This window comes from Homo sapiens, chromosome 7, assembly GCF_000001405.40.
Source record: "Homo sapiens chromosome 7, GRCh38.p14 Primary Assembly".
Lineage (NCBI taxonomy): Eukaryota > Metazoa > Chordata > Mammalia > Primates > Hominidae > Homo > Homo sapiens.
The window spans coordinates 71,488,883-71,506,443 of record NC_000007.14 but is presented as its reverse complement, the minus strand read 5'-3'; the positions used below and the strand labels follow the sequence as shown (position 1 = coordinate 71,506,443).

The following is a 17,561-nucleotide window of genomic DNA, read 5'->3' as shown; positions in this document are numbered from 1 at the left end:
AATACAAAAATTAGACTGGCGTGGGGGCAGGTGCCTGTAATCCCAGCTACTCGGGAGGCTGAGGCAGGAGAATCTCTTGAACCCAGAAGGCGGAGGCTGCAGTGAGCCAAGATTGCACCACTGCACTCCAGCCTGGGCGACAGAGCAAGACTCCATCTCAAAATAAATAAATAAAATAAAATAAAATAAAATAAAAATTCCTTCTATGCCCCAGCTAGTGTCCTCCTGTTTGATTTTAGAACTGTGAATTCCAATTTTATTTTTTATGGATACATAATATTTGCAAATACATATGGAGTCCTAGTGATATTTTGTTACATGCATAGAAGGTGTAATGGTCAGAACTACCATACCACCCACCAATGCCACTACTACTAGGTATTTATCCAAAGGAAAGAAACTTGTGTATCAAAGAAATACTTCTCCCTTGGTTTTGAGTCTTGGTTTTGCTGTAGCCAAGAGGCAGAGAAAGAGAGATCAACACAATGGGGCCTGTGGCTTCTGAATCTCAAGTGTATATGAAGCTTATTATGGAGCTAAGAGAAATGTTGGGCTGGACAATCAGAGAGCTAAATGCTTGGTGCCCCAAAAGCAGAAGTAATTACTTCTCTTTCTGTTCTCACCTTTTTAAATAAGTTCTCTGAGGGGAGGCACTTATAAAGAGCCTGCCAAGGGCTTGTGTTGAAGGGGAAAATATACTCAAATATTCACATAGTTAACAGCAGAATCACTGAAGCTGGACATGGCAGGAGAAGCACATGGCCTTCCAAGAGCACATAATGGGGTAATGGGACCTCTTCAGGAATGCCGAGGAGGTTCTCCAGGAGAGCTGACTTCTTTTTCTGAGACAGAATCTCACGCTGTCACCCAGGCTGGAGAGCAGTGGCAAGATCATGGCTCACTGCAGCCCTGAACTCCCAGGCTCAAGCAATCCTCCCACTTCAGCCTCGTAAGTAGCTGGGACAACAAGTATGTGCCACCCCATATGGCTAATGTTTATATTTTTTTGTAGAGATGGGGTCTCACTATGTTGCTCAGGCTGGTCTTGAACTCTTGGCCTCAAGTGATCCTCCCACCTTAGCCACCCAAGGTATTAGAATTACAGGTGTGAGCCACTGTGCCTGGCCCCAGGAGAGCTGACTTCTGAGGGATGAGAAGTAATTCACTGGCAGGAGAGGGAAGATATGAGATGCCAACAGTGGGACTAGCACGTGCAAAGGTCCTGTGGCCTGGGGAAGATGTGGCAGGAAGAAGAGGAGGAAGGCCACGAGGTGGAAGAGAAGCGAAACTGTTCAAATTGGGGATAAAGAGAAAGAAAAGACCAGAGCACACTGGGTTCTGTGGGTCAAGTAAGAGATCAGACTTTTAATCCTATAAAGCAAGGAGGGGCCACTACATGATGCAGTGTATGCACACAACAGCGTGTGGGGTGTGATCCAACTTGCCCTAAGATTGCAGTGTGGGATATATGCTGGAGAATGTCAGGAGGGGATGAAAGCAAACCAGTTCAAAGGCTACAGCAGAGAGACCCAGGGGAGAGATGACAATGGTATGACCTCGGGTAGCTGCAGCAGAGGTGCATAGAGAGATCTGAGAGCTATTCAGGACGTAGCATTGAGAGGTGACGGGCCACAGAGAGAGGGCAGAATTCAGGGTATTTTCTGACACTGCCCTGAATCCATGCCAGGCCCAATAAGTAAACTGAAAGACTGAAAAATACCAGACAGCAAATTTGACAAAGGTAATTTGTAAATAAGTAAAATATGTAAATAAGTAAACTAGGTAAATAAGTAAACTATGTAAATAAGTAAACTATGCAAAATATGTAAATAAGTAAACTAGGTAAAAAAATGTAAATAAACTGCAAAATATGTAAATAAGTAAACTAATTAAAATATGCAAGTAAACTATGTAAAATATGTAAATAAGTAAACCAAAAGAGAGTGATAAATAGCAGACAGCAAATTTGACAAATTACCTTTGTCTAATTCACTGTCTGCTGTTTGTCACCCTCTTTTAGTTCACTTATTTATTTATTTATTTATTTATTTATTGAGACGGAGTCTAGCTCTGTCGCCCAGGGTGCAGCGGTACGATCTCGGCTCACTGCAACCTCCGCAACCCAGGTTCAAGCAATTCTCCTGCCTCAGCCTCCCGAGAGTAGCTGGGATTACAGACGTCTGCCACCAAGCCCAGCTAATTTTTTTTTTTTTTTTTGAGATGGAGTCTCGCTCTGTCACCCAGGCTGGAGTGCAGTGGCACAATCTCGGCTCACTGCAGCTCCGCCTCCTGGGTTCACACCATTCTCCTGCCTCAGCCTCCCGAGTAGCTGGGACTACAGGTTCCCGCCACCATGCCCGGATAATTTTTTGTATTTTTGGTAGAGATGGGGTTTTACTGTGTTAGCCAGGATGGGCTCAATCTCCTAACCTCATGATCCGCCCGCCTCGGCCTCCCAAAGTGCTGGGATTATAGGCGTGAGCCACCGCGCCTGGCCATTTTTTGTATTTTTAGTAGAGACGGGGTTTCACTGTATTGGCCAGGCTGGTCTCAAACTCCTGACCTCGTGATCTGCCCGCCTCAGCCTCTCAAAGTGCTGGGATTACAAGCGTGAGCCACGGTGCCCAGCCCTTATTAACGTATTTATGTATTTTGACTATCTGTTCTAAGTACCTAGAATAAAAGCTCCAGGAAGGCAGGAACATCATCTGTCTCACTAAAACACTGGGTAGAATTACCCCTGGACAATAACACACTCTCATGAACCTGCAAGGCAGACCAGGTAGAAAGAGGAATACAGTACTGAAATCTTGGCTACATTGAATTTCAGGTACCTTTGACATTCCCAAGAGATAATTCCCAGTAGGAAACTGGATCTATGGGTCAGGAGCTCAGAAAAGTGATATAGGCCAGGCACACTGGTTCATGCCTGTAATTCTAGCACTTTGGGAGGCCGGGGTGGGCAGATCGCTTGAGGTCAGTAGTTCAAGACCAGCCTGGTCAACATGTCAAAGCCCTGTCTCTACTAAAAATACAAAAATTAGGCATGGTGGTGTGTGCCTGTAGTCCCAGCTACTCGGGAGGCTGAGGCAGGAGAATAGCTTGAACCTGGGAGGCAGAGGTTGCAGTGAGCTGAGATCACGCCACTGCACTCCAGCCTGGGTGACAGAGCGAGACCCTGGCTCAGAAAAGTGATGTAAATTATGACTCATGCATAGAAGTGATCATTGACATGTGATCGTGTAGGGAATTGCCTAGGGAGAAAGCTTGGAGTGAGAAGACAAGGAAGTCTAGGTGTGAGTCTTGAAGGATTTCAGCATTTAATAGCTGTGGACAGAATCATGGGGAAAAAAGTAGCCCAACAAGTAAGAAGAATGCTGAAAAAGTCCAGATGAGGGTAATACAGTGGATACCAAGGAATCAGTATTTCAGGGTGGGTGATCAACAGTGCAGGGGGCTAATGACCAAGAAAGCAGACATTTCAACAATGTCTGACTTAGTAACACGGTGTGCCTATTAAGAGCCATCTCAAGCACTTGATGGGGCAAACTGATATCCTGGGGTGAAGTCAGAGGCTGTTTCGGCAACTTCATGCTGTGGAACACATTATTGTAAACTTAGTTTATGAAAACAATATATTTGTTCACAAATCTACAATTGGGGGTCAAGCTCAGTAAGGATGGTTGTCTCTGTTCTACTCAGTCTGAGATGGGTGACTCCAAGGCTGGGTGCTGGCATCATCTAAGGTATTCTTCACATCCGTGGTTGACACTGGGAAGATTGAAACAGTGAGGGTGAAACACCAGGAGCTCCTTGGGCATCATTTTCTGTGTCTATAGTTCCTGTTCACATGGTCTTCCCAGCATGGTGGCTTTGAGGAAGCCATCCTTCATACATGTTGGCTCAAGGCTCCCAAGATGCATGGAGGGAGAGAGAGACATACACACACCGTATTGCTCAGTGCTTCTCCTTCCTGCCATCATGTGAAGAAGGACATATCTGACAGATGTTAAAGGATGACCTAAACCCAGAAGGTCAGGCAGCAACCACCTCATTCCACCATATTCCATTGGCTGAGATAACAAAGATTCTCCCAATTCCGATGAATGTGACCCCATCTCTCAGTGGAGAAAGTGTCAACATCACACGTAACAAGACTGTGAAAGATGGGATATACTAATGTGATTAACTTTGGAAAAGAATTTGCTGCAAAAATCAATGGGTGGTGAGGAATAGACACAGCACAGGTTGTGAAGATTGGTCATAAGGGGCAAGAGAGTAGATGCTGGCAAATATGAAATTAATTTGCTTCTTTTTGCTTTGATTTTAATGCAAGAGCCTGCGTATGTTGAAAGGCCAGTGGGAGAGATTCATTTGAGAGGGAAAGGTTGAATAAACAGGAGAGTTAAGGGATTATCCATAAACAGTGCAAAACTACAAAGACATGGAATGGAATCTGAGTGCAGCTGAAGGGTCGGGCTTAGGAGGAGACAGGGCTTCTCTAGTGAAATGGGAGGGAAGAAGGGGAGGATGGTAATCTTTAAGTTTGTCTTTGCCACCCTGAGGACAAGCAGATTCCTGAGAGATGGCTCCTGCTTCCTCTGTGCAATGGAAGATGCAGCCATTTGTTGTGAGAAAGAGGGAGAAGGAAGGACAGATGTTTGGGGGAGTAGCAAAACTGTGTGACACTCTATATGACTGTAAACATTTCCTTAACCATGGCCAGAGTGGAGGGCAGGGCTGCTTGGGGTGTTGATCAGAGCCTGTCTGCCCTGCACTAAGAGTCCCTATCAACACTCAGGACATGGGTTTTGGCCAGAGAAGACCCATCTAGGGTTGAGATCCTGCCATTTGTATACAACAAAAAGACAGAGGAGGGAAGCCATGATGGTGCACACCTCTCATCCCACCACTTTGGAAGGTTATGGCCGGAGGATCACTTGAGGCCAGAAATTTGAGACCAGCCTGGGCAACATAGCAAAACCCCATCTGCACACATCTTTTTTTTAAAGTTAGCCAGGCATGGTGGCAGATGCCTGTAGTCCCAGCTACTCGGGAGGCTGAGGCTGGAGGATCACTTGAGGCCAGGAGTTTGAGGCTGCAGTGAGCCATGGTCACAGCACTGCACTCCAGCATGGATGACAGAAAGAGACCCTGTCTCAAAAAATTAAACTAGGCTGGGCGCGGTGGCTCACACCTGTAATCCCAGTACTTTGGGAGGCTGAGGAGGATGGATCATTTGAGGCCAGGAGTTCAAGACCAGCCTGGCCAACATGAGAAAACCCTGCCTCTACTAAAAATACAAAAATTAGCTGAGCATGGTGGTAGCGCGTGTAATCCCAGCTACTCAGGAGGCTGAGGCAGGGGAATCGCTTGAATCCAGGAGGCAGAAGTTGCAGTGAGCTAAGATCACACCACTGCACTCCAGCCTGGGTAATGGAGTAAGAATCTGTCTCAAAAAAATAAATAAATAAACTAAAAAGACAGTGGAACAAGAGCATTGAGCACAGGAATGATTGAAATGATGAGCCCTGGAATCTAAACTAGATCGATATGGTAAAGGGGGAGAAGAGAGGACAGGGGTTTGGAGGAGTGGCTAAACTACGGCTCTTACTATGGTGGTAGGAATTGTCTTAACCATGGCCACATGGTGAACGGCCACTTGGGGTTGGTGATCAGAGCCCATCTTCCCTGCAGTGAGGGTCCCCGGAATCTAAAAGATAAGGGGAAAGTGATGAAAGGAAAGAGCCCTGGAAGAAAGAGTAGTAATGTGCTGCAGGTTCTGATGCCAGCAAAGGATGCTTGGAGGACAGCCAGTGGGACAAGCAAGGAAGTGGCAGGGGGTGAGTGTCTGAGTTACTGCTTTGCAGGTAATGACAAGCTCTGGAGGTGTAGCCATAAGATTGGATGGCTGAGAACAAATGCAGGAGGCCAACAGAGAGGAGGAAGTTGAGACCTGGGGAGACCAGTGTGTTAGAAGGAACATCTTTGTAGACACCAAAGTCACTCATGATGGTGGTAGGTGGAGGATCAAGGAGGACCACGAATAGGGTCTGCCTCAGCTGAGTTCAAAATCATCGTGCAGTCAACAAACAGTGGTCTTCTGAATAAATCAGAGAACCTTTATTGAGTGCCTGCTGTTTTTGGAGCCCTTCGCTAAACACTATGGGAGGACACAAACATACAGAATAGACATTAATAGTCATTCAAGACTGTAATAAGGGAGACAGGGCAAGGCGGTGCAATTAATTGTCAATAATTGCTCTAGGAAATTTATAGGCAAAAGCAATCAATTGGGATGGACGAGTGTATTAGTCCATTCTTACACTGCTATAAAGGACTGCCTGAGACTGGGTAATTTACAAAGGAAAGAGGTTTAATTGACTCACAGCTCCGCATGGCTGGAGAGGCTTCAGGAAACTTACAATGATGGTAGAAGGAGAAGCAAACACATTCTTCTTCACAGGATAGCAGGAGAAGTGCTAAGCAAAAGGAGGAAAAGCTCCTTATAAAACCATCAGATTTCGTGATAACTCACTATCATGAGAACAGCAGCATGGGGGTAACCACCCCCATGATCCAATTATCTCCCACTGGGTCCCTCCCAGGATATGTAGGGATCATGGGAACTACAATTTAAGATGAGATTTGTGGGGGGACACAGCCAAACCATATCAGTGAGTCAGTGTTGGCTTGATGGAGGAAGAATGTGGATTAGAAATGGCTCCGGAGGAGCAGGTAAAATCTGTATAGATGAAGAGAAATCGGGAGTGCATTTCAGGCAGATGGAGGCCAGAGAAAACAGTCTTCTTTGCAACACATTCTGAGTGTAAGGAAGCATTTCCCTGGAATCTTTGGAGCACTCATTATAAAACAATCGTATCATTAATGAAAATGCTGCTATATGTGGTATTTCCTCTCACTGTGATCTGAGCCTACACTTTACTGTACTAGGTTCAGGTTACACTGAGTCTCTCCCACTTACAATAATGTCTACAAATCAACATCATCTGAGATTAGAAATGTGATTTTATTTTTACTTTTTGTAGACATGGAGGTCTCGCTATGTTGCCCAGGCTGGTCTGGAACTCCTGGCCTCAAGTGATATGATCCTCCCATCTCAGCCTCTCAAAGTGATGGGATTTGGAAATGTTATTGGTTCATGCAAAATACCAGTAAATCATGACTCCACTCCACTCCCCAACCCTGCCCCAATAGGGGCCTTGTTGCAGGTAAGAATATTAACATTCAGGTAAGGGGATGACGGTCTGAGAATGAAATGCCATTCAATTAAATAGCAGTTAACTTGGACATGAGGTATGGAGATTTAAAAAAAAAAATGCTTCGCTGTCCTGTGTCTTCAGATCATCCAAAGAAAATACTTCTGCTGAAAGAGTTGCTATGGAGATTCACAAAATATTCCAATGTCCTGCAGGTCATCCTTACAGGTGGAGTTGGCACAATGCAGATTTCAAAGAAAACATCAACAGATGCTTTTAGCATTAAATGTCACCATGTCCTCAAAGGTAGCTTAACTCAGAGCTTCTACATTTTCACAAAACCACAGAATCTCAGAGTTAGGAAGGACCTTAAATGTCATCTATTTCAACCCTATTCATCTCTTTGATGGAGTTATCTGGCTTCTGCAAGAACATTCTTCTCCAGGGTTTTCAGAGGCAGCCCAGTTGCTCTTAATGTGATGCTTCACAGACACAACAAAGCGTCCTCTACTCCCCAGTCCCCAGTCATATTCAGATCTTCTGATTCCAGCCATCTTGACTCTGGGCAAATGTTCATCTCCTCCTTGTACACTTGATTCTCTTCAGTACTCCCAAACCCATGAATCTGACATTTTAAATCCTGGCTCAGAAATCCAAATTCCATTCACTGACTCCAACTATGACGCTAAACATTCACCTCCTGTTTCTTTCCAATATTACATAGCCCTTTCTCTCTTTCGTTGTTGCTTTTATTTATTTTTTTGAGACAGAGTCTCACTCTGTTGTGGAGTGGTATGATCTCAGCTCACTGCAACCTCCACCAGGCTCAAGTGATTCTCCTACCTCAGCCTCCCAAGCAGCTGGGATTACAGACGTGAACCGCCAGACCCGGCTAATTTTTGTATTTTTAGTAGAGACGGGGGTCTCACCATGTTGCCCAGGCTGGTCTCTAACTCCTGATCTCAAGTGATCCGCCCACCTCAGCCTACCAAAGTGCTGGGATTACAGGTATGAGACACTGTGCCCAGCCCTCTTTCTCTCTTTTATATCACAAAAGTAACAAATTCATTGTAGCAAATGTAGCAAATACAATAAATTGTTAAAATGGTAGTCACCCATCTTCCCGCCTTCAGGAATAACCTCTGCTACCCCACTGCGGACATTCACGTCTGAATTCTCTGCTTGCACAGAGAAAAGGCATGATCCCACACGCATGTGCATACACATATTCTTTTTCTTTTTTGAAAAACATTCTTTTAAAATCCAATCATGCTGTACTTTCGGTTTTGCAAACTGCCCTTTTCATGGAATAATAGTACATTGTGGATGTTCTTGTTTCTCTAAGTTTCAGCCATCTGTAAGACAAAAAGAGCACCTGGGTTCCCAGTGCTTCCTGTTCCTGCTGGAGCCCCCACAGATGGTGTTCCCATGCCTTCTGGCCTTGCCATTCAATATCAGCAACAACAGCAGGAGTGGGCAGCAGTGGACGTCATGAACCTTGGCAGGCTGCACGCAGCATGTGCTCCAGGAAAATAGCACACTTCCCCATGTAAGCACACAGTGGACTTACATTTAATGGACTGTCATGGGCTAAATCCTGTCCCCTGTAACCACATTCATATGTTGACATCCTAACCCCCAGTACCCTGGAATGTGATTGTATTTGGAGAAAGGGTCTTTAAAAAGATAATTAAGTTAAAATGAGGGTATTAGAGTGGGCCGTAATTCGGTGTGCTCACTGTCCTTAAAAGAAGAGGAAATGGACAGAGACACACCCAGAATGTGACTGAGGAAAGACTGTGAGGCCCCAGAGAGAAGACAGCCTTCGACAAGCCAAGGAGAGAGGCCTCAGAAAGAACCAACGCTGCTTGCATGCTCATCTCGGATTTCTGGCCTCCAGAGTTGTGAAAAAATAAATGTTTCTTGTTTAAACCACTTAATCTATGCTATGGCACACAGTTTGCACAATGTGTGTTATGGCAGCATTAGTGGATTAGTGCACAGAAGAAGGTCAGCTCATTGCAGATACAAATGTCAAATGTATCCAGTCCTGGCTCCCAGTTAGAGGATGAGGACCCACATCTCCCTCCCTAGACAAATTTCCTAACTTTCAGATCATTTTCCTAACTTTCAGATCATTTTCTTCTTTTAGAGAGAGAGATTCAGGGTCTCACTGTGTCACCAGTGGCTTGATCATAGCTCACTGCAGCCTCAAAGTCCTGGGCTCAAGTGATCCTCCTGCCTCAGCCTCCTGAGTAGCTGGGACTACAGGTGCATGCCATCATACTTGGTTATTTTTTTTTTTTAATTTTTGTATAGACATGGTCTCGCTACTTTGCCCAGGCTGGTCTCAGACTCCTGGCCTCGAGCAATCCTCCTGCCTTGGCCGCCCAAAGTGCTAGGATTACAGGTGTAAGTGCTCCGCCCCCCGCTCCCCACCCCACCCCATCCGGCCCAGGTCATTTTCAGTGATTGATATTTAGGCCGGTTCAATTGAGAACACTGAACTCACTCTGTTTTCATGGCTCTTATGCTTCCTCAGGGCAGCTGGGGGCTTAGGACAGGAAAGAGGGTGCTGTCTGTTTCTGTAGTGCCTTCCTCCTCACCCTCCCTCATGGTCTCTCTCCTCCACTCCTTTCAGGTTGGGCTTCGGGGAAGGAGGGCAGGTGGAAAGGAAGGCGGAGATCATTTCTATGTCACTGGACGATGTCTGTGCGGAGAGGGGTCTCTGTCCTCATTTTGACTTCCTTTGGTTCAACCTGTGGCTAGTGACCTCACCAATACGTGAGGTCCACCAAACAGGTCCTATGCCCTGCTGTTTCTCTAGAAAGATGCTCCCCTCAAATGCTAAAGATGTCTCCCCACCCCCACCAGAGTAAGACAGCCCGGTCTCCAACTGGCCCACTGATGCTTTGAGCCAGCACAAACTCTGGGGCCTGGCTCCCAGCTGCTGGCCCCTTCTGCCACCTGGGGATTCCCTTGATCCCCCGGCCTCCCCACTGCAGGGTCCTTCACATTCAAGTCCTGGGAGCTGCTGAAGTCCTCTTCCCTGTGCAACTAAGACAGGGCAACTAAAATAATAGTACATTGGGGCTGTTCTTGTCTCTCTAAGTCTCGACCATCTGTAGGACGAAAAGAGCACATGGGTTCCCAGTGCTTTCTCTTCCTGCTGGAGCCCCCACAGATGGTGTTCCCATGCCTTCTGGCCTTGCCATTCAATATCAGCAACAGCAGGGGTGGGCAGCAGCGGACATCACGAACCTTGGCAGGCTGGACTCTCAATATTCTTTGCTTCTCAAGGACATCATTTACATCTGCCCTGGTGGCACCTGCTGATCCCTGGACTTCCCATTTTTATCAGTCTCTAGACCAAAATCAGATACTCCTGGAGTCCTCTCTTCCCTACCCTGCAATTCCCTATACAATTGGAGACAGGAAGGGAAAGTGGCCATGATATGTAGGAAAGGCATTATTACGATGCCCAATTCAAGCAGAGGAATGATCAGCCTCTACATGTGACCATCAAGCATCCTCCAGTTACTGGGAATGAGCCAAGGTATAGTGCTCCCATTCCAGGCCGGGTCAGGAGATCAGTCATTAGGGGCCTGGCCACTGGGGATCAGACCTCGGCCCTGCACTTAAATTCAGCTCTGTTGCCTACTAGTCCTGGGCATGCTATCTTAACCTCTTTCTGCCTGACTTGTAAAATAAAAATAATGATAATAATAATGCCTCCCCACCGAGGTTATTTTGATTAATTATGTTACTAATCCATAGACAGATGTTAGCAGCACAATGCCTGGCACACATTAAGTGCTCAAAAAAGAAAACTGCTATGGTTGTCATTGCTATTATCACAGAATATGGAGTACAGTGTCTTTGCTTGTCTTCTGATATGGCTTGGCTGTGTCCCCACCCAAACCTCACCTTTTCTTTTCTTTTTTTTTTGAGATGGTGTCTTGCTCTGTCACCCAGGCTGGAGTGCAGTGGCACAGTCTCAGCTCACTGCAGCCTCTGCCTCCTGGGTTCAAGCATTTCTCCTGCCTCAGCTTCCCAAGTAGCTGGGACTACAGGTGTGCACCACCATGCCCAGCTAGTTTCTGTATTTTTTTTAGTAGAGACAGGGTTTCACTATGTGTTAGCCAGGCTGGTCTCAAATTCCTGACCTCAGGTGATCTACCTGCCTCAGTCTCCCAAAGTGATGGGATTACAGGCATGAGCCACTGCACCTGGCCCCAAATCTCACCTTGATTTGTACCAGGTGGAGACAATTGAATCATGGGGGCAGTTGCCTCCATACTGTTCTTGTGGTAGTGAGTAAGTCTCACGCGATCTGATGGTTGTATAAACGGGAGTTCCCCCGCACAAGCTTTCCTGCCTGCTGCCATGTAAGACGTGACTTTGCTCATTTGCCTTCAGCCGTGATTGTGAGGCCTCCCCAGCCACGTGGAACTGAGTCAATTAAACCTCTTTCCTTTATAAATTGCCCAGTCTCAGGTATGTCTTTATTAGCAGTATGAGAACAGACTAATACAGCTTCTCTCTGCTTTATCACAAAGCTGACAAGTGAGGCACAGTAGCTCAGACCTGTACTCCCAATAGTTTGGGAGGCCAAGGCAGGAGAGTTACTTGAGCCCAGGAATTCAAGACCAGACTGGGTAATACAGTGAGGCCCCATTTCTACAAAACAAACAAACAAAAAATACAAAAATTAGCCAGGTGTGCTAGTGCACACCTGTAGTCCCAGCTACTTGGGAGGCTGAGGCAGGAGGATCGTATGAACCACAGAGGTTGAGGCTGCAGTGAGCTATGATCACACCACTGCACTCCAGCCTGGGTGACAGAGCAAGACCCTGTGATATGACTTGGCTCTGTGTCTCCACCCAAATCTCTTATCGAATTATAATCCCCATAATCCCCACGTGTTGATGGAGGGGCCTGGTGGGAGGTGATTGGATCATGGGGTGATTTCCCCTATGCAGTTCTTGTGACAGTTTCATGTGATATGATGGTTTTCTAAGAGTTTGACAGTTTCTCCTTCACACACATACTGTCTCTCCTCCCACCATCTGAGAAGTCCCAAGTTTGCTTCCCCTTCACCTTCTGCCATGATCATAAGTTTCCTGAGGCCTCCCCAGCCAAGTGGAACTGTGAGTCAATTAAACCTCTTTCCTTTGCAAGTTACCCAGTCTCGGGTATTTCTTTAGAGTAGTGTGAAAATGGACTAATACACCCTGCCTCTTAAAAAAAAACTTTATAAAAGCTGATAGACTTCCTTCTTCTCTGCAAGTAAGTAACCTGAAACATCTATCAATCCCATCAACAGTAAAGTATGTTTATTAGAGAGAGAAAGAGAACATATAATAGATTTAAATGGAAATATTTGCATTGTTCAGAGAGGACAGGTAAAGACAGGCAAGGAGATGGGATGATGAGGAGAAGGATGGAGAAGTGGAGGGGACAGAAGGGAAGAAAAGGCACTGATAGGGTCTGGCTGCATTTCTACCCAAATCTCATCTTGAATTGAAGCTCCCATCATTCTCACATGTTGTGGGAGGGACCATCCCTGGGGGAGATCATTGGATCATAGGGGTGGTTTCCCCATACTGTTCTCATGATAGTGAACAAGTCTCACAAGATCTGATGGTTGTATAAGGGGTTTCCCTTTCATGTGGCTCCCATTCTCTCTTGTCTGCTGCCCTGTAAGACGTGCCTTTCACCTTCCACCGTGATTGTGAGGCCTCTCCAGCCACGTAGAACTGTGAGTCCATTAAACTTCTTTTTCTTTATAAATTACCCAGTCTTAAGTATGTCTTTGTCAGCAGTGTGAAAATGGACTAACACAGGCACCAATCAAAACTCATTTCCTTCTCTTTACCAGGGAGCGTGATTCTTCAATATGAAGGTGAACTGGGGCCCAGTCAAGAACATCCAGATAACTGGGGCAACATCACAGATGCCTGGCAGAACCACGCTGGGTAGAGGAGCCCATGCCTACACTCACTGTCCTGGAGGAAAAACCCAGGAGAGCCTTGAAAGGCACTGGCTGGATTTGAGCATTAGACTGTGAGCTCTTCAAAGACAAGGTGATGCTCCATTCATCTCTGTGTCCCCAGCCTGACAGTCTACTACCTGTCTGAATTTATGCATGAGCTGTAGCATACATCAAAACTATTTATTCTGAAAACTGACCATTTTGACTAAAATAGTTCTTTATTTTAGCTGTGCAATTTATTTGAATACAAGTAGAAATCTAAGGGCTGAGAGGGACCATTCATAGCATGTGAATTAAAGAATGCTAAATAGCGGATCCCCTGGCCCCCAAATCTTCCACAGCTACTTCTCTGGTCCATCATAATCCACCCCCAAACTCTCCATCCAGGTCACTCCTTCAAGACAAGGATCCATGAGAATGTATTTCGAAAGGAAAAGGGAATAATGATGGAGAACAGCGATACGTCAAACACTCTATTGTCCAACTGCATTCTCACAACGGTTCTACGAAAGTGTACTGTCTCCATTTGACAGATTAATAAACTGAGAGAACTGGAGTGACGTGCTCACTTTCACATGAGTACTTTGGCCAATTTACTTTTGAACTCAAGTCCACCTGCCACCTAAGCTTCTCTCTTCTCCTCCACCAGGGAAAGCCACCCATTAGATGCCTTAGTTAGATTATGGTTGAATGAGGATAGTGGCTCCTTGCAAGACCATGAGAGTGACAGCCAAAGAAAAGAGCATTTCCATGGGTGCCAAGTCTGGCACATTCTAGCACAGGATGCATCTCAGGAAGGTGGGTGTAAGTGAGAGGCTCCTAGCAGCTCTAGGGGTGAAGAGAGAACCTAAAACAGGCACAGAGATCACTGGGCATGAACACATGAACACTATTCCAAATCATGCCTCCATTTTATTCATATTTAATTTAATTAATTTATTTATTTATTTTGAGACGGAGTCTTGCTCTGTCTCCAGGCTGGAGGGCAGTGGCGTGATCTCGGCTCACTGCAACCTCCGACTCCCTGGTTCAAGTGATTCTCCTATCTCAGCCTCCCGAGTAGCTGGGATTACAGGCATGTGCCACCACGCCCGACTAATTTTGTATTTTTAGTAGAGACGGGGTTTCACCATGTTGGCCAGGATGGTCTCGATCTCCTGACCTCATGATCTGCCCACCTTGGCCTCCCAAAGTGCTGGGATTACAGGTGTGAACCACTGTGCCCAGCCTATTTTATTTGAGATGGACTCTCGCCATGTTACCCAGGCTGGTCTTGAATTCCTGGGCTCAAGCGATCCTCCCACCTTGGCCTCCAAAGTGCTGGGATTACAGGTGTGAGCCACTGAGCCTGGCCCAAGTTCACGCTTCCAGAAGGACAATCACAGCATGAATTTCCGTAGGACAGTGCATCTCAAAGTGAGACTCCCAGGCCAGCAGCATCAGCACCACCTGGTACTTGCTAGAAATGCAGATTCTCAGGCCTGCTCCTGACCTAGGGAATCAGAAACTGACCAATCTGTGCTGAACAAGTTCCCCAGGTCACTCCAATGCTCACTTAAGTTTGAGAACAGCTGGTTTAGATCCAAATTCTCTTCTGATTGCATCAGGATGGACTGGAGTCTGCCGCTAAGGCCACTTCAGCAAGCTAACCTATCCGGGCTGATATGGGAACCCTGCCTCTCTCCACTGCACAGATAGTGGATTAATTTACCGGGGTCTGCAGCTGCCTTAAATCTTCCTTGGAACAAGGCAGGGTACAAACACATAAATAATGGTGTGTGCTTCCCTGCCATGATGGACCTCGCTATAAATCATAAGCTGTAAAATGCAACTGTTGGAGAGAAGGCGTCGTGCCTGCTTCTTACATTCCTGTCTAGGAAAAAATGAAGGCTGCTGGTACCACCACTCCTACCCCGTCACTGCCAGCTACTCAATAGTGCCATGAAGACCCAGGGAGCATGAGCAGGAGACAGAACCCAGAGCACCAGAAGGGCAAAATGTTGTGTTTTTCTTTTCTTTTTTTTGTTTTTTTCTGAGACGGATTTTCGCTCTTGTTGCCCAGGCTGGAGTGCAATGGTACAATCTCGGCTCACTGCAACCTCTGCCTCCTGGGTTCAAGTGATTCTCCTGCCTCAGCCTCCCTAGTAGCTGGGATTACGGGCATGTGCCACCCTACCCGGCTAATTTTGTATTTTTAGTAGAGACGGGGGTTTCTCCATATTGGTCAGGCTGGTCTCGAATTCCCAACCTCAGGTGATCCGCCTGCCTCGGCCTCCCAAAGTGCTGGGATTACAGGCATGAGCCACCACGCCCAGTCATTTTTCCTTTTTTTAAAGAGACAGGGTCTGCTACCTAGGCTGGAGTGCAGTGGTGCGATCATAGCTCACTGCTGCCTCGAACTCCTGGGCTCAAGAGATCCTCCTGCCTCAGCCTTCCAAAGTACTGGGAGTACAGGCACATGCCACCTTGCCTGGCTAATTTGTTTATATTTTGTAGAGATGGGGGCTTGCTGTATTGCCCAGGCTGGTCTCAAACTCCTGGCCTCAAGGGATTCTCCTGCCTCAGCCTCCCGAAGTACTGTGAGTATAGGCACATGCCACCTTGCCTGGCTAATTTGTTTATATTTTGTAGAGATGGCATCTGGCTATGTTGCCCAGGCCTCAAGGGACCCTTCTGCCTCAGCCTCCCAAAGTGCCCTTGCCCAGAGAACACCAACTAGTCTGGCCTCACTTGCTAGAGCTGTTCCCCACTGCCTGTGTGTGTCCCCACCATGCACAACAAACACTTAAGGGGGTCTCTGTAGGCTAAATGCCCCTGATAGGAATAACTTGAGCATACCCTAAGAATGACCCTGTATGGCAGATGCACCTGAATCTATGTTCAGAGCCGGGGTGAAGAAAGAGACGAAAACAGGCACAGAGATCACCAGGCCATGAGTACTGTTCCAGATCATGCTTCTTTTTTTTTTTTTTGAGACAGAGTCTCGCCCTATCACCCAGGCTAGAGTGCAATGGCTCAATCTCAGCTCACTGCAACCTCTGCCTCCCAGGTTCAAATGATTCTCCTGCCTCAGCCTCCGAGTAGCTGGGATTACAGGTGCCGCCACCACGCCCAGCTAAATTTTTTTGTATTTTTAGTAGAGATGGCATTTCACCATGTTGGCCAGGCTGGTCTCAAACTCCTGACCTCGTGATCTGCCCGCCTCGGCCTCCCAAAGTGCTGGGATTGCAGTAGTAGAGATGGAGTCTCACCATGTTGCACAGGCTGGTCTTGGACTCCTAGTCTCAAAAGATCCTCCCGCCTTGGCCTCCCAAAGTGCTGGGATTACACAGCGTGGCCAATGCAGAGATTCATTCCTTATCTATGATGAACATCTGAGCCCCCAGCCATACAGGAGATTGAGGCCCTGAATTTGGGGTTAAATGAACGTTGTCAGGTGGAGGTCATTGAGGGAAGGGTGTTAAGTGAAAATGCTGTATAAGCTACATGATGTTTGCAGGCGGTTGCAGTTTTCCTGCCCAGCCCGCCGCCAATGGACTCTCTCCCCTGTATGTAAGCCTCTAGTAAAATCCCATGTCTCGTTGGCTGGTGCTGGGTCTCTCCTTCAGGCTCTTGAGCCTGGGGCTCTCCCTTCTGAGGTTAATAGGGGTTCAGCACAACAGTCTCACATCAGCTAACACCTTCCACACTTGATCTCTTATCCAATCCTTACAACAATCCTATGTGATAGCTTTCTTATCCTCTTTTTACAGATGAAGACACAGGCTCAGAACAGTTAAGTCACTTACCATGGCAAATAGCTGAGGCCAAAGCCTGTTGATCATTATCAATTTGTGTTGTGTCTGAATCTCCTGATCTTCTCTCAGGTTTCCAGGCCTAAATCTGTCCTCCCCTATAAGAGCTGGGTGTGAATGAAGCATTTTAAGACGATAGTCAGGTGTAGGTGTCCGGCTGACCCATCTGAAGGTTCTTAGAGTGTGGCCCCTAGAGCCACAGTATCTGCACTACTTGAGAATTTGATTATGAGACAAACCTGGTTGGGTGCAGTGGCTCATGCCTGTAATCCCAACACTTTGGGAGGTCGAGGCAGGCAGATCACTTGAGGCCAGGAGTTCAAGACCAGCCTGACCAACATAGTGAAACCCTGTCTCTCCTAAAAATACAAAAATTTGCGAGGTGTGGTGGTGCTCGCCTGTAGTCCCAGGTACTTGGGAGGCTGAGGCAGGAGAATCGCTTGAATCTGGGAGGCAGAGACTGCAGTGAGCTAAGGTCTTACCACTACACTCTGGCCTGGGCAACAAAGCAAGACTGTCTCAAAAAAAAAAAAAAAAAAAAAAAAGGAAACC

The 17,561-nt window shown here is 46.7% G+C and overlaps 1 protein-coding gene across 3 annotated transcripts in view, besides 3 other annotated features; it reads right to left on the bottom strand.

Annotated features, from left to right (window-relative positions):
- GALNT17 (polypeptide N-acetylgalactosaminyltransferase 17) overlaps nucleotides 1-17,561 on the bottom strand; it is a 581,456-nt gene that overhangs the window by 207,156 nt on the left and 356,739 nt on the right. The gene's annotated exons all lie outside the window — the stretch shown is intronic.
- Nucleotides 15,125-15,843: an enhancer, noted in NCBI's record as "H3K27ac hESC enhancer chr7:70955586-70956304 (GRCh37/hg19 assembly coordinates)". NCBI's record gives its function as "activates a minimal SCP1, AML or CMV promoter by ChIP-STARR-seq in primed H9 embryonic stem cells {active_cell/tissue: H9 hESC(primed)}" and the evidence as "EXISTENCE:reporter gene assay evidence [ECO:0000049][PMID:30033119]".
- Nucleotides 15,844-16,562: an enhancer, noted in NCBI's record as "H3K27ac hESC enhancer chr7:70954867-70955585 (GRCh37/hg19 assembly coordinates)". NCBI's record gives its function as "activates a minimal SCP1, AML or CMV promoter by ChIP-STARR-seq in primed H9 embryonic stem cells {active_cell/tissue: H9 hESC(primed)}" and the evidence as "EXISTENCE:reporter gene assay evidence [ECO:0000049][PMID:30033119]".
- Nucleotides 16,563-17,282: an enhancer, noted in NCBI's record as "H3K27ac hESC enhancer chr7:70954147-70954866 (GRCh37/hg19 assembly coordinates)". NCBI's record gives its function as "activates a minimal SCP1, AML or CMV promoter by ChIP-STARR-seq in primed H9 embryonic stem cells {active_cell/tissue: H9 hESC(primed)}" and the evidence as "EXISTENCE:reporter gene assay evidence [ECO:0000049][PMID:30033119]".